Genomic DNA, 23384 nt, shown 5'->3' on the forward strand with positions numbered 1-23384 from the left:
GTATCACACAATTTGCGAGCCATTTCCAATTCAATAGATGAAATTTTTTGTCATATTCTTGATTGTCTGCTATTTCATTGTATAGGTGTGCCATAATTTATTTCATCAATCTCATGTTATTGGATTATTGGACTATATTTTTACTCTTTATTAGAAAATTGACAATACCTTTAGGATAAATTCTTAGAGAATTACTAGATCAAAGAATATGTGGTGTGTGTGTGTGCGTGTGTGTGTGTGTGTTTCCAATGTCCTCAGCATTACAGGGGTATTATTGTAATTTCTACTTCTTTGTTAATATGGTAAGTGAAAAATAGTATCTCTTTGTTTTAACTTACATTCTTCAAATATTAGAAAATTGGGATCTGGGTGCGGTGACTCACACCTGTAATCCCAGCACTTTCGGGGGGCGAGCTGGGCATATCGCTTGAGCTTAGGAGTTCCAGACCAGCCTAGGCAACATAGCGAAACCCCATCTCTACAAAAAATCCAAAAAAAAAAAAAAAAAAAAAAGCCCAGCATAGTGGCGCATGCTGTGATCCCAGCTACTTGGAAGGCTGAGGTGGGAGGATGGCTTGAGCCAGGGGAGTGGAAGCTGCAGTGAGCCGAGATCACACCACTGCACTCCAGACTAAGTGACAGAGTGAGACCCTGTCTAAAAAAAAAGAAAAATCGAAAAACAGTTTATGACCTATTGTAGTCATTTTGTGAATTGCTTTTTCATACCGTTAGTCCCTTCTGATATTACAGTCTTTCTCCTATTTTGAAAATAGCTTCACCAGTTTGTCTTTTGGCTTTGCTTAAGGGTTTTTATCATACAGAAGTATTTTGGGGATTTTGTTGTTGTTGTTTCATTGTATCAATCCTTTCCTATATAATTTCTTCTTTTAAGTTCTACTTAGAACGTTTTTTTCTTAACCCAAGGTTATACAAATACTTACCTATACATTCTGGTACAAAATATAAAGTACATATTCAAGTGTATATAAGAATTTAAAATAGCAATTCATTCAACCATTTATTCATTCATGCATATTCATTCACGTAAATTGAGCACATGTACACTAAGAACTGTTCTAAGTGGGGATAAAGCTGTGAACAAGACTACCAGGGTTCTTGCTCTCATAAAGTTATTATTCCAGAAGGAATATGACATAGCATATAATTTAATGTGAGCTTTCCAATCAATGAGGGAAAGAATGGATTATTCAGTATACAATGCTGTTACAACTAGTTAACCATTAGGAAAAGAAGTAAGATTATTTTATACCTAACATCAAGTGTATTACAAATGGATTTAAAAACTATATTTTAAAAATAAAACCATTTGAAAATAGTACAAAAAACATAAATGAATATTATATAAAGAAACAGGTACATTCCTAAACATGAAAACTTTACAGCAAGATTTCAAGGCAACTCTGGAAGTGACATTATTTTTAATGGAATAAAACAAGGTAATTTTTGAACAATAATCTTTATTAGTGTATTTTTAAAGGTACATATAATCCTGAGCTACAGCATTTATACATTTGTCATTTACTCTTTGAAGTGTACATGTATTTTGCTTCAAATTCTGTGATGAGTACGTTTTTATACTAATCAGTATCATAAATAATTTAAAATATTAGTCTTATCTCTGGAATCACCAATCAATTTACTCAGATGATCTCACTGTCTAATTCTACTACATTTAAAGACTGTAGAACATTTGTGATTAAGCAATTTCTTTTTCAAAACTGCAAAGATGGGCAGTGCGAGAGCTGATTCCATAAATTTCAATGAATTCTTAGAAAATTATGTTGTTCTTTATTTCTGATCTATTTTCTTGAATAATTTGGGTAATTATCTGATCAGTTACCTTTGAGAAGAATAGTAAAAGTACCTCTAATCTCAACATTTTAGCTACTGTAAAATGTCATAAGCTTCCTTCAAATATAAGTAGTACATAATTACCTCAATAAGAAAAATTTACCATGATCTAAGGGAAAGGGGCACAACCCAATGTAAATATATCTTTGGATAAATGGTTAAGTATTATAAAACATGTTATGTGAAATACTTCCTCAAGCCTCTATAAAGGAATACATAGAGCTGATAAACATTAAATTCCATAATCCAGACCAGATCTTTTATAAATGGTAAATAAAAAGGCAAAAATGAAAGACAAAAGTCCTGTGATCTTTGAGAAAAGACATTTATCCAACATCTCCAACTGTGGACAAATAAATATTCGTTCTTGTATTTTAAATTACTACCAAAATATTTTATCTTTCTACAAACAACAAAAAACAAGCAAACAGTATCTAGAAATTTTTTTTCCTCTGACAAGAATGTCAAGTCTTTGAAGTTACACTAAATTTTTTTTTTTTTCCTGAATAAGGTCACTATAATCTTAGGTTAAAGTTACAGTAAGCAGTTCAAGCAAAATGCATATTGCTTAGGTTTTAAGCAAGCAATTTTGATACTGTTTAATTAAAATGTAAATATAAATGTGAAACTATTATAGAAATATTTATAAACACTTAGGAATACTCATGTATCAGCAAGTAATGAAATAACTTATTTAAAAATAATAAAAGGGTGAGAGTAAATGTAATGTTTGGTAACAAATCCAAAAATATCTATAAGAGATGTAAAAGAACATGAAAAGGCTTTATTATTCAAATTTTGAAAACCTAGCAGCAAAACAATTTGCATATAATATAGTGCAATGAGCATTTGTTCATAAAAGACTCCCAAAGTCTTGAAACGATTATACATAAACCAGAATGGAATCCATTAGGATAAATAATTTAAAGATGTCCAGAGTAGCTTACCAAGAACTGCTAGACACTCTCACCTGCATTACTGAATCATAAACAAGCTTATGCAAAACTGTGTTCTGGATAACTGACTCTTATGGCTCCCCAATAACAAGCTCGGATAAGGCAGATCAATCCTAGGAGATAAGCAATTGCCCAAGAAACATAGGTTGCTCGAAATCGCCTTGCAAAATCTGGGGTGCCAACCTAAAATAAAAAGCAATATAAAAACAAAATATTAGAAACTTTAAAAAATATCTGCTTAGGGAACTTGTATCAGCTTACATGTGATTGTTATGAAATATACCCCCAGACCGAATACACAAAGTCCTTATAAGAGTAGGTGTATCTGTTGACTGCAACTGATAGACCATACTGCTACTTGTAGTAACTATAAATGTTATGAAGTAAACAAAAAAGCACACTAAACTATATTATCTCTACAAGGAATTTAATCCATGTAACTTCTTACTATCATGGGACACAATAGGACATTGCTAATAATAAGGGACTAGTTGTACTGACAAACAAAGGAGCATGGAAATGGCAGCCAAAGAGATTATCTTCCTCTTCTGGCATAATCCCCATGCTAACTGCTTAGCTCCAGTCTTCTCTAAAAACAAGCCATCCTCATATTGGTAATAAATCTCTGCTTGATTTGGATAAAGAGAAGAGTGGTTTTTTTAGATCTCTGTAGCTGAATGAATATTGCTTTGAATAATAAGAGACCCCATAGCCATAAAAATTAGTTCTGGCACTGATTTTTTTTTAAATGGGCTTTTGCTAAATAGATGATAAAATCCCCAACAGTAAGGACTTTTGGAGGTAAAAAGACACCGTTTCACTTGGATGGGCGAGTTCAATCAAAAAGAGGTCCATGGATTGGGTTTCTGATTGCTCATAATCATTCAGAAGCTTCTAGTGCTGGCATGCCAAGGAGGCAGCCTCTTCAGGAATCCCTGAAGGTTGTCCCAGGCCTCATGATTGACTACTGATAAAGTTGAGAGGACAGAATTCTAACATCAAAGTGTAACACTCACAGTTAACCCAACTCCAATGAAAATACATATCATTCCAATGGTAATATATGCACAGCAGCGTCTTCGTGGAAGTGCACTACCCACTGAGGAGCTGCAAATTCATGAAAGCAAAAGAGAACATTAAGTATTTACATAAAAATTCTCTATTTCATTTTTGTGAGTTCTTATCTATGGCTTTAGTAATATTATATACTTTTTATTCATTGCTTCAACTTTACAGACAAGAACATGCATTAAACATGTCATTTTTAATGGGTGACAAAATCGTTCAGGGTGAATTTGTGATATTATTGTGGCTTTAAACAAAGTTCAAGCCTTGGTCATTGATAATATCCACAGAAATCCATTGTAGTACCTACTAATCTCCCAAGATAAAAGTTTATTTCCAAAAAAATCTATTTCAGAATGGAAAAACAGCTATCTTACAAATAGCATTTGATTTTTTTACAGTTAAAAGAGTATGTGTTTATGTAAAAAATTTAGAAAGTAGAATAAAAAGGAAAGAAACAATGAAGAAAAAGGAAAGAAAAAATTACCTATAATCCCAATATCATAAAATAGTCACTCAGTATTTTTGCATACTTTCCTGTAGCCAATTTTGTACCTTACCAATATATAGCATGAACTTTTTCCCATAATATTCTCAAACTAAAATTCTGATGGATGAATATAACATAATTAAAAAATTTTCTACTATTGTACATTAAAGTATCTTCATTATTATACATAATGCCAACAAAGTATCATTTAAAAGCATTGTGCTTATTTTTAATCATTCTTAAGATTTTTAAATTTAGAATTAGGATTACAAATTAAAGGGATTAAACTTTTTGAATTGTTTTTAATACATACTGCTAAAAGCCCTCTACTGTGCTACTCAATTGAAATTCCAAATCTAATAGTATTCACCCTCTCTGTATCTAATTGTGGTAATTTTCAAAATGATATAAGTTATAGCAGAGATTAGTAGCCAAATTAGCACTTTCTTCTCTGTCTTAACGTACATATATTTATTACTATATACCATATGCAAGGCATCGTGTTAGTGAATGACACAGAAGTATCTGATTCACCTTTGTGTGGCCAGTGTCAAGATTATGCCTAACACATAATAACCTCTCAAAGAATGTCTGATGAATAAGTAAAATACAGAAATTCATCACTTACTAGGCATGATTTAGAAACATGTGATTCCAAATAGGTTAATTTTGCATACAAAATTATTTCCTTTAATTTCCAAATCTTTTTGAAAAACTGATGAAGTTTTTTGCAAATATACATCGTAAATTTTCCTGGGTACTTGAGCCCAAACACAAACATCTGGATGACCTGGGGACCACCATTAATTACTATATTGTACAGCTTGCTATCTAGAGTTACTAGGGCATGCAGGATTCATTGCTTTTATGTAACATTTAGCCCTAGTCTATTTTTGGTTTTAATTTCTATGCATCCACTGGTGGTTTTTCTTGCCTTATACATCACATCTGGTTGTTGTTTCTTATCACTGCCTGTGCATCTGCATTTGGCAGTTTGTAATATACCATTTATTAGAAGCCAACTAAGCTTATTAAAATTATGTACTGAATAAGTCAAAAGTTTCTAAGTGAATATTAGAGCGGCTTTTCTGTGAGCCAAGAGAATACACTTTAGTACATTAATTTCAGTGCATGAATTCTGCTTAGAAAACCTGTGCTCTCTTTTCATCACTCAAATTAAATAGTCACTACATCTGAGAAATCTTCTCTGAAAAAAATAACCTACTGCTACTCCACAACTCAAGTGCCATCTCCTCACAGGATAAGGCAATGACCAACAAGCACTTATTAATCATAAAATCTCTTACATATTTAGTACATATGTGGTATCTACATGCAATATATATTACTGGTACAAAAACAGACACACAGATCAATTGAACGGAATAGAGAACCCAGAAATAAGGCCACACACTTACAAACGTACAACTATCTGATCTTCAACAAACCTGACAAAAACAAGCAATGGGGAAAGGATTCCCTATTCAATAAATGGTGCTGGAATAACTGGCTAGCCATATGCAGAACATTGAAACTGGACTCCTTCCTCATACCAAATTTAAAAATTAACTCAAGATGGATTAAAGACTTAAATGTAAACTATAACATTTATAGTTATATAGGTTGCCTGGAGGACAACCTAGGCAATGCCATTCTGGATATAGGAACAGGCAAAGATTTCATGATGATGACACCAAAAGAAACTGCAACAAAAGCAAAAATGAACAAATGATATCTAATTAAACTAAAGAGCTTTTGCACATCAAAGGAAACTATCAACAGGGTGAACAGACAACCTACAGAATGGGAGAAAAATTTTGCAAACTATGCATCTGACAAAGGTCTAACATCCAGCATCTATAAGAACTTAAACAAGAAAAAAAAACCAGCCCATTAAAAAGTGGGCAAAGGACATGAACAGACACTTTTCAAAAGAAGATATACATGCAGCCAACAATTCTATGAAAAGAAGCTCAACATCACTGATCATTAGAGAAATGCAAATAAAAACCACAATGAGATACCATCTCCCACCAGTCAGAATTAATACTACTAAAAAGTCAAAAAATAACAGATGCTGGTGAGGTTGTAGAGAGAAAGGAACGTAACATTCAGAAATTCAGAATACAGAAGTTTAAAAATAAGTTTATTTTTCTAGCAGATAAAACTTAAAGGTAAATGTACAGCCTAGGGTTGGTAGTCAGCTGTACTCCCTGATTGGTATTGCCAAACTCTACACAGGTAACAACATTCCTGCCAGTTGGCTTTTCCACTCAATTCAAAGAGGAGAGAAAAAACGAAGACAGGCAATTTTGTCTTTAAGGAGAGTATCAGAAAACTGTACTCATCACTTTTGTTCACATTCCATTGGTCCTAACTTAAAGATGGCCACACTATCTGCAAGACAGGCTAGGAAATCCATCTCTAGCTGAGTGGCTAGTCAAATTCAGAGGTCTACTAATAAAAGGAAGGAGAAAACAGCAGTCTCTGTTATTTTAATTGATATTAACATTACATTTTAATGTTGGCTAGTGTTTGCCTGGTATGTCTTTTCCTTTGGTTAGTGATTTATGGTTGTATCTTTTTCTATCCTTATACATTCATTCTATGTTCTAATATTCATGTGTTCCTTCCTCAAATTGTATATAGCTGTTCTTACATCTAGTCTTACCATTACTGTTAAGTTTTACTAGCAAGATTAGTCTAATGATATACATGGACTATTTCTGACACCTTATTTTGGCTTTCTACTATTCCTGTATTTTCTGCTTTTCTACCTTTATTTCCAGACTTCTTTTATATTGACCATGACTCTTTCATTTCATTTTCCTCTTATTATTCTGAAAGTTTTACAATTTATTTCATTCATTTGGCAGTTGCACTTAAAATTTTAACTTTCATATGTTTTAAAAACTAAAGTCAATTATTAAATCCATCTTCCTGATAAATATAAAGATTTTAGAAAGTTTTAACACCAAACATTCCACTAGCATCTTAATGCTACTGTTTTCCAATATTTCAGTTTTATTGTATTTTTGTTTCTCAAAACTTATTAGCATTAATATAATTGGTACTGTCGTTTTGGCTATTTTATACAGTCAGTGTTTCTGGTGAATTGTTACAATTTCTTGGTTTACCTTTCCTTCCTGCACTGCAGAAATTTCTTCTGGAATATTTGTTCATATTCCCTAGTTCATCATTTAGCAGTTTTTTTTTTTTTTAGTAAGGGTACCAGGATGGTAGATACCCTGGGTTTTGTTTGTAAGTTTGTTGGTTTTGCTTTTGAAAATATACTTATTTTACCTTCATTATTCTTTGATGGTTTAGATAGGTGTATAATACCAGTTTGACAGTTAATTTCTCTTAGTATTTTTGATGTATTTTAAAACTTGTTTTCTGGCTTCTATTTTTGCTGTTGAGACATTTGCTGACAGAACTGTTATCTTTTTCTTATTGAAAATATGCCTTTTGTCTCTCTGCTTTTAATTACCTTCTATTTCTCTTAGGTTTTCTACAATTTCACTGTAACACATTTACTTATCCTGCTTGGATTTCATTGTTCTTTTTGAATATAAAAATTCATATCTTTCATAGATCTGAAAATTATTTGAGATTATCTCCTAAAATGCCATATCCCATTCTTTATTTGTTCCTTCCAGATCAGATATATAATTGGCATCTTAATAATATATTTTCTCTTAATCTTACATTCATCTTTGTCTCTCTATGCTAGATTCTGGGTAATTCACTTACCTCTATCTTCCAATTCACAACTTTAGTCTTCACCTTTAGCTGATCTGTTCTTTAAACCGTACGTGCATTTTAATTTCTGTAATAATTTCTAGAAGTTCTATTGTTTCTTTCTATATCTATCTGGTTATTTTTTGCAAATTTCTATTTGAGACAATTATAGATTCACAAGCAGTTGTAATAAATAACACATAAAAATACCATGTACGTTTTGCCCTATTTCCCCCATAGTAAATCTTGCAAATTATAATACAATATTATAAACAGGATATTAACATTCATATAATCCACCAATATTCAGATTTCTCAGGTATATGAGTATGGATTTTTCTTTAATTTTATGCAATTTTATCACGTTTAGGTTCATGTATCTATTGCCACAGCTAAAATAGAGAACAGTCTATCACTGTAAGGATCCTTTTATAACCACACCCTCCTTTCTGCCCATCCCGCACCCTGTGCCTGCCACACCATCATTAATCTGTTCCCTATTTCTACAATTTTGTCATTTGAAAAATGTTACATAAATGAAATCTTACTGCAGGTAACCTTGTATGGCTAAGTTTTTTTTTTTACTCAGCATAAATTCAATTCATCCAAGCTGTTGCATGTGTCAAATTTGCTACAAACACTCACATATACATTTCTGTGAGTACCTGGTAATTTTTAAATAGTCTTACATGTTTTCTCTTATTTTTATTTTAAAACATCTTAGGCATAGTTTTAACATACTCCATATTTAATAATTATAAATCTGAAGTTTTTAGAGGTCTAATTATGCTGTTTGTTGTCAATGTTGATTATGCTTCTGGAATCTTGTTTTCTCCTATGACTAGTAACTTTTGTTGAAAACTTATTTTGGCAGATCTCAATATAAAAAAATTTTGGCATGCATAGTTTGGGGGTGCTTTCCTACATACAGAACTTTCATTTGCTTTTCGCAGGCTCCCTAGACTGATACTAACCCTAAACTTTAAGTCAGTTTCTGGAACTAGGTTTTCCTAGATCGCATAAGTGATATAAAAATATAAACCTAAATTCACTGTTCTTATAAATTTTTTCCTCTGCAATCTTCCTTTTCTGGTTGATTTCTTTTTCCTAACTCACTCTTTTCCAGGGGAAGAGTACTTTAAGTACTTTATTGGGAGGAGGCAGTATTCTAACCCCGCTACCTTGTGTGAGGCCAATGCCTTCTCTCTCATTCTTCCAAGGCTGTAGATCCCTAGTGTTGGCATATACCTTCAGGATAGTCCTGGTTGTCACTTAATCTTCATTTTTGGTCCCCAACTGTCATATGAGCTGAGCTATGCATTTAAAAGGATGATTTTTACAGCTAATTGGTTTTTTATATTACTGCATGTGAAAGTCAAGGGCATATACAAAAATGTGGACAGTGAATCTCCAAGCTGAAAAGACCATTCAATGCTCTCAAACATCTAACTATTCACTCTTCAAATTATTAATCTTTCGCTTCACAAAAACACCTTATGAAACACTAGGATTATGAAGAACACCTGGAAAATGGTAGTGTAGCTAGTGCTACAGGAATTTATAAGGGGAAAAGGCGGCAAACAATGTTCTTTACATTACAATTTTCAGACAAGGCAGCCAGGGATGGCTTTATTACACAAGACTTAAGGATAGCTTAAAATGTGAATAGATGGGGGAGTAAGTCATTTCAGCTGATTACATTAGAATTGTTCAGGTGTGAAAAGAAAATTTGTTCAAGGAATAAGCAGCAGAATAACCTTTGTGCCACAGAATGTTTCTACAGATGAAGAGTAGAAGCAAGGGATGTTTCAGCTAATTTTTTAGGTTAAATAGGTGTTTTCTAGGTAGACAAGGGCAAGGAAAGGAGTAGCCAGGCCATTCTAGGTCTAGCAGGATAAGACTCAGGAACAGAAGAAAGAAACTGCATAATATGTTTGTGGAAGTAGAAGTGCAATTTGTTGGGGCTAGGAAATAACTAGGTTGTGTGTGTAGAGACAGAAGAAAACAAAGATATCCCTAGAAAAGTTAGGCAAAGACTAAAAGAAGTTTGGAGTTTGATTTTGGATTTTAGGCAATGGGCTGATAGTAAACCATATGGTACATTTATGCCAATAAGTAAAAGAAGTCCTCAGAATAATTTATATGAAACTAAATATACAAACCTAAAATAACAATGGAAATTGTACCTCTTCGGGTTGTGCAGCATACAACTTGCACAACTGTATGCCATGGCTAAGAAATTGGGAGCCACTAAAAGATTTGATGCCAGAGAATCTAAAATGACGTATGCATTTAGGAACTACCACTCTAGTAAATGAATAGATAATTGCAGTATTGGAGGTCAAGAGATAAATTAGAAAACCAATGCAATAGTCCTGGTGAGAGATGCTGAATACATGAACTGAAGTAGAAATCATGAGAATAAGAGGACAGAATTAAAATGTCAAGGGACATAATTGATAGGATATTACCATTTAAATATGGAGAATGATAAAAAATACACTAATATTTCTTGGTTGGTCAGTTGGACAGACAGGATAACATTCATTAAAATAATATATTCTTTTTCTAGAAATAATGTAGGGGGTGAAAAAGAAAAACATAATATATTTATCAATACACATGGGAGATTGGTTTGCAGAGTAAGGTGGGAATGCTGGGTCAGGTTGTGCTTGAAATGACCATGAGATATCAAGTTGAAATAATTCTAGGCTAGATAGTGAATAGAGATAGTATATTTAAATCTGAAGCTCCAAAGAAATATCTGGGGTCATTTAATGGCATCTAAATGACATAGGAACATAAGAGAAAACCCGGATAAAGTGCGGTCAAGTTCCAACTTTGGAAAATAGCAAAATTTAACAACTTGGAAGAGAAAGTAAAGCCAACAAAGAAGAGTTGTGAGAAGTAGGAGAAACCCAGGAGAAAGCAGTATCTGGAAACCAAGAAAACAAACTTTAAGGAAAAGAAACCATTGTATTAGTCAGGGTTCTCCAGAAAGCCAGAACCAACAGGAGATAGATAGATAGATAGATAGATAGATAGATAGATAGATAGATAGATAGATAGATAGATAGATGAAATAGATAAGAGGCAATTTATCAAGGAAATTGGCTACTGTGATTATAGAGGCTGAGAAGTCTTGCAACAGGGGATCTGTAAGAGTCCCTGGACTGTTGGCAGTGTGGCTCAGTCTAAGTCCAAAAGCCTCAGAATCAGGGAAGCCAATGGCGTAATTCTCAGTCTGAGGAGGAAGGTCTGCGGAGCTGAGGGACCACTGGTGTACGTCCCAGAGTCCAAAGGTCAGAGGGCCTGGAGTTCTGATGTTCAAGGGCAGGAAAAGAGTGTCCAAGTTCCAGAAGAGTGAAAATTGCCTTTCCACTGCTTTTTTTTTTTCTATTGGGCCCCCAGCGAATTGGATGGTGTCCACTCACATTGAGGGCAGATCTTCTCCATTCAGTCCACTGTCTCCTCTAGAAACACCCTCTCACACATATCCAGAAGTAATGCTTTACCATTTCTTTAGACATTCCTTAATCCAGTCAAGTTGACACCTAAAATTAATCAGCACACCCAGGATGATCAATAGTATCAAATGCTACAGAGAAAACAAGCAGGATGAGAATCAAAATATGGAATTTATTATTGGGATGTGAATTTCATTAGAGCAAATTCAGTGGCCCACTGGGGATGGATAGCTAATTGTGCCTTATTCCAAAGAGAATGGGGTGCAATAATCAAATGAAGGTATAAGCCTTGGAAAGAAGAGACATGCATCCCTCTGAGAAGAGGAAATGAAGTGAGCATGGATAAAGACAGGTTTACGAGTATGAAATACAAAAATGAGAGAATTCACAGATAGCCTCAATTATTTCAGAGATAGGAGGCAATTCATTGGATGAGACCTGGAGAGTTGGGGGTACTGAGGTGGGGGTTTAGGAGGAATAGTAGATATCTGGAGATAGCTGTTTTGGGAAATGGGAAGTCAATCAAGGACACTTAGGAATATAGATCAATTTAGATAAATTACAAATCTATACATTTGTAAAGAACTGAATACAGAATTTTTTCAACTCTCAGTTATCTTGGTGAAGGAAGGGAGAAGCCATGGCTATATTGATCCAAGATTGCTGCTTTGAAAAGCAGATAGATGGAATGATGATTAACCAATCTAGCAAACCTACTATTCTATATCTAATATGTTGAAAATGAATTTATCATCTTCTGCCAGACACATTTCTTCTAGATCCTGCATGTCCTGTCTCAGTGAATGGTTCTACAGCCTCTCAGAAATAGGGTCATTCTTGATCCCAATCTCTCTCTCTCTCATTCTTTCACATTCAGTCCTATCCATTCCATTTCCTTACTAGTACATCTATACTCTGACTCCTTTGTACCTTTGCACAGGTAGCTCCTTCTACAGTGCACCCTCTTTTTCACACAATTCTCACTCATCTTTTATAACTTAGTTCATATATCACTCCCTCCTGAAAACCTTCACTCAAGATCCCTTTCCCTCTAATCTGGATTAGGGACTCTTCAAAGCAGAGCATTCTGGTCATACCTCTTTCAAAGCACTTAAAACTTTATAGTAATTAACTATTCTCCCCACTATGCCCACAAGACTAAATTCCTTGAAGGCAAGATTATATCTTTTATTTCAAGCAATCAGTACTTAGCACAGAATTGTTTGTTGAATTAATGAATAATTATAAAATATAACACTAGATGGCAAAATAAATGGATAACACTTGAGAATAAGCCCACTATTGTTTAAAATGGCAGGAGGTGATTCACAAAAGTACATCAGTGATGTAAAAGAAATGATATTCAATGATAATTGTCATGGATTAAATCAATGTCTCTACTAGTCATAGGTCCATTATAACATTTGCATGGAAACATAGTCCAAACTGTATTTCAGAATGCTACAAGTACACCTTCAGTCTGGCAGTGGCCACAAGCCACCTAATTAAAAGAACAACATCACCTTTAGCTACCATAGTACCAGCTACCATTCGAGTAAGAAACAGCAATATGAGAAAATGCCCCTCAGTCTTTGGAGCTCTAGGGGAAGCTTTCCCCATACATTTTGTGAGATAAAAGCACATAACACACTTGTTTCACAGTAATAAATTTACCAACTTCTGTAACTTAAAACTAATTTTAGGATATTTGTGTTTAAAGAAAAAAAATTCTGTCTCAGAATCTTACTCCAACAGATGACCCATCATTTTGCTCTGAAGGAAAACATTCAAAAAGAAAATAAATCTAGATACCAGCTAGGAGTGTTCATGTGGTCACAGTATTTGCACTCAAATAAGTAATGAATGCTCTGAGTCCTCCCATGTTTAGCATGTGACTCTGATTCTACAAACCTTCCTCTTAGAATAATGTTTAAGCTGATTTATTCCATGTGAATTTCTATGTAAGTTGTTCCCTAAGTAGTTGATACAAATTCTTCTTCATATTAATACACTGTCTTGTGATATTTTAACAAATCACGGAGTATTCAGACATTCAATACTTCCTTATTAGTAGTAAAAATATTGCCATTGTACGAAAATAATTAACCAAGCAAGTCCCTTGAGCAAAATCCTTAACCTCTCTTAACAGTTGCTGATTTGTAAAATTACAAAAATCATCCCTGTATTACAGGATTGCTGTAAAGATTACAGCTAGTATATATGTATATATAAAGCAACTATCACTCTGCTTAGCACACAGTCTGCTAACCACAGAGGTCTCTGTCAGGCCAGGTGCAGTGGCTCATGCCTGTATTCTCAGCACTTTGGGAGGCTGAGACGGGTGAATCACCCGAGGTCAGGAGTTCGAGACCAGCCTGGCCAAAATGGTGAAACCCCGCCTCTACTAAAAATACAAAAATTAGCCAGGCGTGGTGGCGTGTGCCTATAGTCCCAGCTACTTGGGAGGCTGAGGCAGGAGAATTGCTTGAACCCCGGAGGTGGAGGTTGCAGTAAGCTGAGATCGTGCCAGTGCATTCCAGCCTGGGCAACAGAGTGAGACTCTGTCTCAAAAAAAAAGAAGTCTCTGCCTTTTCTTTTCTATAAGATCTTTATTTCCATTTTAATGTTCTTGGTGAATATATTTGCAATTTAATTTTGTACATTTTCGTGAAAATACACATAATACCCAGAAATATGTATCATCCATATGCATATTCACATACTTTGGAGGGGGGAGTATAGGTGTGTTCCTCAAGTACGTATATATTATTTTGTGCACGTATTAAGGGTTTATCCACTTTGCTTCTCCATGTACAGACTTCTATTGGATTCAGTAAGGAATCAGAATGATTAATTTCACAAATAAAAAAGAAACTATTTTTTATAAGCTAAGATATGCTGTAAAGTTATTCTTACAGAGCTATATTTAGTTGAAATCAGATCTAGCAGAGATGGAGATATTTTGCTACACATATTCTACTTCCAAATACTTTTTAATTACTTTCTCCTATAAACCATTCTTGGGATTTCTCAACTCTCAATGTAGATAAGGTATTTATATCATACTAAGGATCACACAAATTAAAATATGAATATTATTTCAAACCTCTTATTTTCAATAATAAAAATTGGATTGTCTAAGCATTCCAGTTTAATTTACTTTGCTTCAGTTATAATTCACATACATAAGAGGATAACAATAATTTTTTAAATTATAATTTTATTATCAAAATAGATGCAGTGCAGAAAAGAGTTAACACAGTAGGCCTGAGACTGCTATCCTTAGAAAGCCCTGCTTGTAAGGTTGGCCCTTAGCTGGCATCTAGAAATTTAGATTTGGGGAGAATTCCCATCATTCCCTAACTGGTAAGAGTGGCTTATTATGTATAAATTGTTTGTGTAAACAGTATGGTTTATGCTAAACATAAATTCCATTCAAACAGGAATTTGGAATTTTGGTGTGTGCTAGGTAGGATGTGCCTGTGTAACCAGCTCCAGTAGAAACCTTGGGTACTAAGTCTCTAATGAGCCTCCTGGTAGACAACATGGTACATGCATGGTAATAATTCACTGCTGGGGTACTTCACTGGGAGGGGCCCCTTGGAATCTTGTCCCTAGTTTCCTCCAGACTTTGCTCCATCTGCCTTTTCCTTTTGCTGATTCTGCTTTGCATACTTTTGCTATAATAAATCATACCTGTGAGTACAACTATATATTAATTTCTATGAGTCCCTGTAGAAAACCAAGGAACCCTGGTGTAGTCTTGGGACCCCCAACACAGATGCTATAAAATGTCTTTAATCAAAATATCTTCTATTATTTTTCATTTTATATTGTCATTATTTTCATTAGGTGCATCATTTAGGAATAGAGAGAAATAGGCTAAATAATTAAGATAAACAAATAATTATATAAATGCTGCTATCAGTAATAATCTTATTAGGCAGGAGATGAAAAAGGCCAACAATCACCTAATTATGAAGTCCAGAACAATTTGAGTTTTCTCCTAGATTACAGCCCATTTTATAAATGTAAATTTTAGATTATTTGTAACAGATTATAATATCCTAACCAGGTTACTGATAATTTTTAGCAATTTCACTTTCTTATAATAGAAATTGATTTCCCTTTAGATGATGATAATCAAGCCTAATCATTTTAATTTCAAAATGGGATATATTTGTTTTAGGATATCTTTTTAGTCTTAAAAAGCATAAATACATTGGCATGGATTCACTCCACAGCATGTTTTAAAATCAAAATCTACTTAAGTGAAAATTCTGAACTCTTCAAATTTGTCTCAAGTATTTCTCAATAATATTTCCAATGGTAGGGAACTTACATTTTTTTGCAGTGTGGGCATTTTGCCAGAGTGTTGAACCTCAGTTCCATCCACTGTAAAATAAACAAAGAGAGGAATTGAAAAGAAAACAACTGAAAACTATCCAATCTGATAAGACATTTCTTTTACTTTAAATGTCATCAGGGATCACAACAGAAGCAATCACCTTCTCACGGTTACATGAGTTTTTCCCTCCAATACTTCTCTCCCTCTCTTAAAATACAATATGAGATCCTCCTCTGAAATAGTTCCCATGACTTTTCCAATGCTCTGACGCAATCTAGGTTTGCTTTACATGAATACTGAATGTAATACCATAATTGGGGTCATCTTGTTCAGTAAGTCTCAGTTCACTTCCAACGAATACAATCATATTTCATATACCATCAAAGTTATTTTTCTTTTAAGTCTTGAGGGCTGGCCTTTTAAATACTTGAATATTTAGATTCATTACTAAAATTAAACTATTTATTCTACTTATGTGAGAAAGTCACCAAGTACATAAACTAAAAAGTCGGGAACTGTTTCCTGTTCTGTCATTGCTTATACAATATAACAAAAACACACTGCTTAGTACAATTTTCTTCCCTGTAAATCTAAGTAATAAATGTGCTACCTTCCTCACATGAATGTTATTCAGATACTTGAAATGACTTACTGGTTGTAGATAGTCTTTGAAGGAATATGCAATATAAATTTAAAGTAAATCTTTATCCCATGAAATATATTTTGTTAAATGACTTTCTAACAATCTTCTTCTATCTTGTTTGCTTTTCTATATACTTCCTTATAAAGGGTATATTTCCTTGATAGTTTTGGGAAAATTTCTTTAAGTACTTTGGCAGTTTATCATCAAAACAACATATTTTTATTAAAATTGTTTCATTTGGAAATCTAGGCCAACAATTTTTCTTTTCAGAAGGCTCAAATTCTAGATACGGGGGTTTCAATAACTTATGGATATTCAAACGTTTTCCACACAATAGAAGATACCTTTTAGAAAATATCTGATGCATACTTTTTTCTTTTATGATTAGAGTTAAGAAAAGAAAATATAAATTTGGGTTTCCTAAACTCCTTTCTCTTCATTTTTATTTCAAATCTCATGAAATTTAGTTAACCTTGTTATGATCTCGCTTAGTCACAACAGGAACATATAGTCCCAAGATAAATAAAAGAGAAATAAAACTTTACATGAATGTTCACTCTCTTTACAAAATGATTATTTTTAAACATCTGCAAATGTCAAACCAAGGGCACTTATTTTTCAAGCTAGAGTGAATATTTCTCTCATTAATTATGAGAGAATTACTTATAATATCAATTTGCAACAAGTTAATTTATTTTAAAACTGCTCTTAAAGTAAAAATTCTTGAGTTAATGTGCTAAACAGATATTAATATAGATTTCTACAGAAATTGGTATAGAACATTAAGCAGTGGAAGAATATAGAACTATTATTAAGTGCTTTTTTATGTTTCTGTTACAGGCTTAGGATAGTTACTGAACTTGTAATGTCATTTCAAATGTTATTTATAAATAAAAAATTTAAGTTTTTCATAGTTAAAAGAAGCAAACTGGTTTGAGAAGGTAATTATGAAACCTTTGAGTCAAGAGTAACTCAAAATCCAAGACTTAAGGCTAACAGACTGACATAGGAATTTCAGTATTTTAGATGATGCCTAAGGAGATTGTTTAGTCCAATGTTATCATTTTATAGTGTTCTTCATTTTAGCACAAATTATGCATGATAAAATCAATGATAACTGACAAACAGTAGGGACTTTATTCTGTAATTAATGTATTACATTGCCAGCAACCTACCACATCTGGTTTTGTTGTTATCTGCAAGTACTCACTTAAACGGAGCAAACTAATAACAAAAAGCATCTATTATTAGAATAATTTTCTTATAATTTATTCAAATGAATCCCAAACCTATGCTTTGGAAAAGAAGTTGACTTAGTACTGTTCTCTCATCTAAAATCTGGCCTCTGGATTCTTAAAATTTTATTGCCAGACCTTGAAGTCTCATTATACCAAAAAGAAAAAAATCTTAATTATATCAGCAAGATTAAAAGCAACTTCTCTAAAACCCAATCATTTTTAGTAGAGATCTTCTAAAATTTGACTTATTTCTAACTATTCTATAACATGTAATGGATAAATTGAGTTTCCCCAAGATATATTTTGCAACTAATCTTAGAAGATTTGTAAAAAAAAAAAAAAAAGCTATATTGCTTAAAACTAATAATTTAATTTTATAGTATCTTACTGAGATAGATAGATAGATAGATAGATAGATAGATAGATAGATAGATAGACAGATAGATACAATAGGCAACTGGTAACACTTTGAAATATGTTCAAGTTAAAACTATTATCCCTCTCTGCTATGGCACCCATTTGTCCCTAGATACAAATGAAAAAAATCTGGCCCTGCCTGAAGGTACTAAATTGGCCCACTTCAGGGCAAAGTTAGAACTAAGTTGTGTTCACTTTTATTAAAGAACAACAACCCTCAGTCAATGTTGATTAACAAAGTATCTGGATATGCCTTTTACCAGCAACAGAGACCATGGGCCCTACAGAAATGTAATAGTAAACTCTGCTGTTCAGTTGTGTTAAGAAACTTCTTTGCATTTATGGAGAACTAGCTAAAGGCTTTATAAGTCAATTCATTCTTCTGGGAAATTATTTTTCAAACAATGCCCTTCAAATCACCACTCAGGCTAGATGATCTCAAAATGGTTTGGAGGGTAAAAAATGTTTGGACATACAACATAAAAACTCCCTCTTAAATATATACAATGGTATATGCTAAAACTGCTAAAGAATATCCTATTTTAAATTCTGTTTAATTTTTTAATCCTAGCAATTCCCAACGAACATGGAACTCTTTACTCACAAACACCTGTTATTAACCTATAAAATAAATGTGCCATTGAATACACTTTGGAAAACGCAAATCTGGCTTTTCTACATTTATCCATGGTCCCAGCTAGGCTGTGGTATGAATAGTGTAAATATTGTGAATTCCTAGAAAATTTAACCTTACCATTATAGCACTGGTATATTAAACAATGTTATTATAAACAGAAGGATGCTGTGAGAATATGGAGAAGCTAGTCTCTAGCTTGCATATTACTTTAGCAATTGTGTTTTTTTCTGGGGGTAAAATATCAAAATTAAATTATTTTTAAGTATAAATTTTTTAAATAATAAAAGCCTTGTCACATATAATAGTTCTTTTATCTTAATCCTTGAGAGAATTCTCTCTCAGGAGAGAGAGCTCATTATTTCAGGAAAAGCATTTCCTATGTGATCTTTCCAATAAAATATCTTGAGTATTTTGTCACAGGTCATATTTTCTTTTCTTTGACTCTAGAAAACTCAGAGCTAAGATTCAGCCTGATTTTATCAACTGTATTAGACTAAATATTAGCATACTCATATTATGCATGACTTCAGGTTGTTTTTTTCTGCCCTAATTATTATTTTTCCTGATTTTTTTTCACATTTGATTTTCAATCATATTGAACTTAGTGTATCTTTGTAACTTATCTCAATTGCTTTTAGCCTTGCAAGCTAAGTCTAAAACAAAGTAGGAAATGAGTAAATGAATTAACCTAATAATTAACAGTGTGAAGGGCAAATAACATATTATGAAGAATATAAGATTAGTCAAGATCAGCATAATAATAAGGATAAGGCTGTAAGAACTTTGTAGTCAGTGTATTCTTCATAATACTGAGCATCTCTCATTAATCCAAAACTCTCAAAAGTAACCAATACCTCTCCTATAGGTGTATACAGTGTTCCCCTAATCAACAAAAACTTCCTATAAAATTTTGAAATCATCTTTAAATACTGTATTTTAATCCAAAACATCTTTTCTTGCTAAAGAATTAAAGTTTTAAATAATAGTTACTCTGCTAATATGATAATATGATTCACTTGCCTGCACTGAATGTTAAGTAAGGAAGAGCCAGCTTTAGAAGTTAGTCTCTGAAAGAGCCAGCTTTAGAAGTAAGTCTCTGGCTTGCACATTACTTTAGTAATTTTCTTCTTGGGGAAAAATATCTAAATGTACAAATTACTTTTTAATATAATAGAAACCATGGCACATACATATCTACCTAAACTCTCAATTTAGATCATTCTCTAGAATTCATTGCCAGATGATTCTAAAAATTAAATATAAACCTTTATAACAACTGTCTTTTTGATTGTTCTTTTCTCCTCATTCCCTTTTCTACCCTATTAGTACAGTCAATTCTCTCTCAAATTCTTTATGCTATTCTTGACTATCATCATCACTTTGCTGAAAAATAAAAGCCAAAATTCTAGCCTTGTGCTTTTTCAGGCTTGTCTCTTTGCTATCCATTCCTCTCCTATTAGGTTAGAAAATTTCATGAAAGCAGAGACTGTGCTTCCTGTTCACCACTGTTTCCCTAGCACCTAGCTCAGTGCCTGGTACACACACTCAATATATATAATTGAAAAAATAAAATCATTCCTTTTGTAATGTGGCTACAAGGATTATCCATGGCAAATATTTGGAAGATAAAACGTAACAAGAAAGAATGCAAGGTAGCTGTAGAAGGGAGATCTCCAGAAGTAGGTTGAAACAAATCTATATTGAAGATTTTAAAATTGTGTTACTGTCAAAAGTTTGTTCACATATGAAAAAGAAAATAACAAATATGCTTTATATATTTAATTTAGTTAATTCATTTAATATCTATTGGTAACTATAGAGTACGTTAGTTTATATTAAATCAGTATATACTGATTTTTATTTATTTTAAAGATAGGGTCTCATTCTATCACCCAGGCTGGAATGCAGTGGTATGAACATAGCTCGCTGCAACCTCCAACTCCTGGGCTCAGGTAATCCTCCCACCTCAATCTCCTGAGTAGCTAGGACTATAGGTGCATGCCACTACCCCTGGCTAATTTTTAAATGTTTTTGTAGAGGTGAGGTCTCTATGTTGCCCAGGCTAGTCTCAAACTCCTGGCCTCAAGTGAGCCTCCCATGTTGGTCTCTCAAAGCACTGGAATATCAGGGCATGAGCCACCATGCCCAGCCTATAGTGACTTTTTAAAAAGAAAGTTGTTACCTATCCCCACCAAGTATATTTTCTAATTTACGTACTTAGTCACTGATTTAATCAATAAAATATAAATGTAACAAAGGAGACATATCCTACTAAATCAGAAAAATCCTAGCAATTCTGGTTAAATACAGTAAATTGAATAAATGCATGCATTTCCATTTTTTTCCAAACCTGACTAAAATAATAGTAATTGAATTTTGAAATGTATAATACCATAAGGATAAAAAAAGAGGGACTATGACTTCAAATTTTTGGACAATGGAAAGCAGATGGACTTTGCAACTCACTTAGCGAAAGGGATGTTGAAACTTAACTACCTACAGAGAGATAAGCCAATAATGGCAGGCTGCTTCACACTGAAAGACCCAGAATAGACCCTATACTTTTAAAGGTGGAGGCTGGGGTAAGGATAAAGCAGGAGTATCACAATCCCAAGCTCATTGCAGCATTATTCATAAAAACCAAGATATGGAAACAACCCAAATCTCCATCGACAGATGAACGGATAAAGAAATTGTGGTATATGCATACAATGAAATATTATTTAGCCTTAAAAAGAAGGGAATTTTGCCATTTGTAACAACATGTATTAACCTGGAAGATATTATGTTAAGTGAAATAAGCCTGACACAGGAAGACAAACACTGCACGATCACGCCTGTATGTGGAATGTAAAATAGTTTAATTCATAGAAGCAGAGAGTAGAATGGTGGTTGCCAGGCATTGAGGTGGGTGAGGAAAGGGGAGATTTTAGTCAAAGAGTACAAAGTCTCAGTTAGGCAGGCTGAATAATTTCTGAAGATCTAATGTACAGTATAGTGACTATAGTTACCAATATTGTATTATATACTTGAAATTTATTAAGAAGGTAGATCTTTAGTATTCTTACCACAAAGACACACACACACACACACACACACACACACACACACACGATAACTATATGAGGTAATCAAAATGTTAATTAACTTGATTGTGGTAATCATTTCACAGTATAGACGTATATCAAAACATTAGGCTGTACACCTCAAATATACAATTTCTGTTGGTCAAATATAACCCAATAAAGCTGGGAAAAAAACAGAAGTATTGATTGCAAATTCTCACAAAACCAGAAAACCACCCTTCCCCAATATATTAAGAGAAGAATGATTTATTCTGTAGAGAAATTGGACTATAGAGCTTGTGGACCAGGAACACCAGGCACAGAAGACGGCACGAATAAAAAGTCACTCTAAAAACAAAGGATTTAAATTAATGTCTATTGTTTGAAAAGCGTGTAAGAGCTTCACCCCTATTACCTCTCTTAGCTCCTAAAAGGCTGTCTCTCGGGCATATCTCCTACAAGAGATTAGAGGATCTTTCCCCAGAGAAATCTGCCCTAAAGAAAAAAAGACCAATTGATACTAATAGCTGACAGCTTTACAAAGAAAGAAGAGGAGGAGGAGCAGGAAGAGGATAAGGAAGAGTGGAAGGAGGGGGAGAAGGAGGGAGAGGACGAGGAGGAGACAGTTTTCACCTATCCCCTGCCTGCATACATAGAGACTCCAATCAGTGACTTGCTCTCAAATATAAACTTCTGCATAAAACTTCTATCAAAAGAAATACCAATAGAAAAAGTAGTGAGAAAACAGAGATAAGGCATAAAGAAGAAGAATACCTCAGAAAAAATGTAATTAATGGCTTCAGAAAGATGTTTGAAATGCTTGTTCTTTGGTGCCATAAAGAAATAGCACTTGGACATAAATTTAATTTTCTCAGCAAGGCCATTTTTATACTTTCTGCAGAAAGGGTACACTCGCCAGCAGTTTTGCCACAAGAGTACACTGAACAAAAGAGACAGGGTCATTTATAACCTGATGCATCGACCTTACTGCTGTGTCTGGTTTCTATTGGCTGGAACAGGACTTCGCATTCTGTATTTGTCTTGATTGGCTAACACCTTAGAACTTTCTAAAAGAGGCAAAGGCAGAGGAGAACAAAGGAAGGAGGAAGTAACTTGTGGAATGCTGAGAAAGGTAAAAACACCTTCAAATAAGAAGAGGAACAGGCTATGACCAAATGCTTGCTTGGACCAGTATAAACATGCCAGGGCAAATATTTAGGCTAAATTGTGGGAGCTAAGAACATAAAGTACATTGATTTCTTTATTACAGCTAGCAGATATTTAATAATGTTAGCACAGGTCTTTGAATAAATTTTGCTTCTAAGAAAAGTTACTATTTACTCCTAATTAGACGGAGACGAAAGTCTTTGAAGAGGAACCTCTACTTTACTTTTTACAAAGATGTCATGAAAAAGGAATGCTATTAAAAAATCGGAGACAAACAA

The 23384-nt window shown here is 33.5% G+C and overlaps 1 protein-coding gene across 1 annotated transcript in view; it reads right to left on the bottom strand.

Moving 5' to 3' along the window:
* Positions 1 to 992: 992 nt before the first annotated feature.
* Positions 993 to 23384, bottom strand: part of PIP4P2 (phosphatidylinositol-4,5-bisphosphate 4-phosphatase 2) — a 47058-nt gene continuing 24666 nt past the window's right edge. The window contains exons 5-7 of the mRNA NM_018710.3: positions 15934 to 15986; positions 3845 to 3935; positions 993 to 3011 (exon numbers count right to left, since the gene is read on the bottom strand). Coding sequence (NP_061180.1) covers positions 2868 to 3011; positions 3845 to 3935; positions 15934 to 15986 — 288 coding nt within the window. The 3' untranslated portion in view covers positions 993 to 2867. The remainder of the gene's footprint in view (positions 3012 to 3844; positions 3936 to 15933; positions 15987 to 23384) is intronic.

This window comes from Homo sapiens, chromosome 8 (assembly GCF_000001405.40).
Source record: "Homo sapiens chromosome 8, GRCh38.p14 Primary Assembly".
NCBI classification, from domain to species: domain Eukaryota; kingdom Metazoa; phylum Chordata; class Mammalia; order Primates; family Hominidae; genus Homo; species Homo sapiens.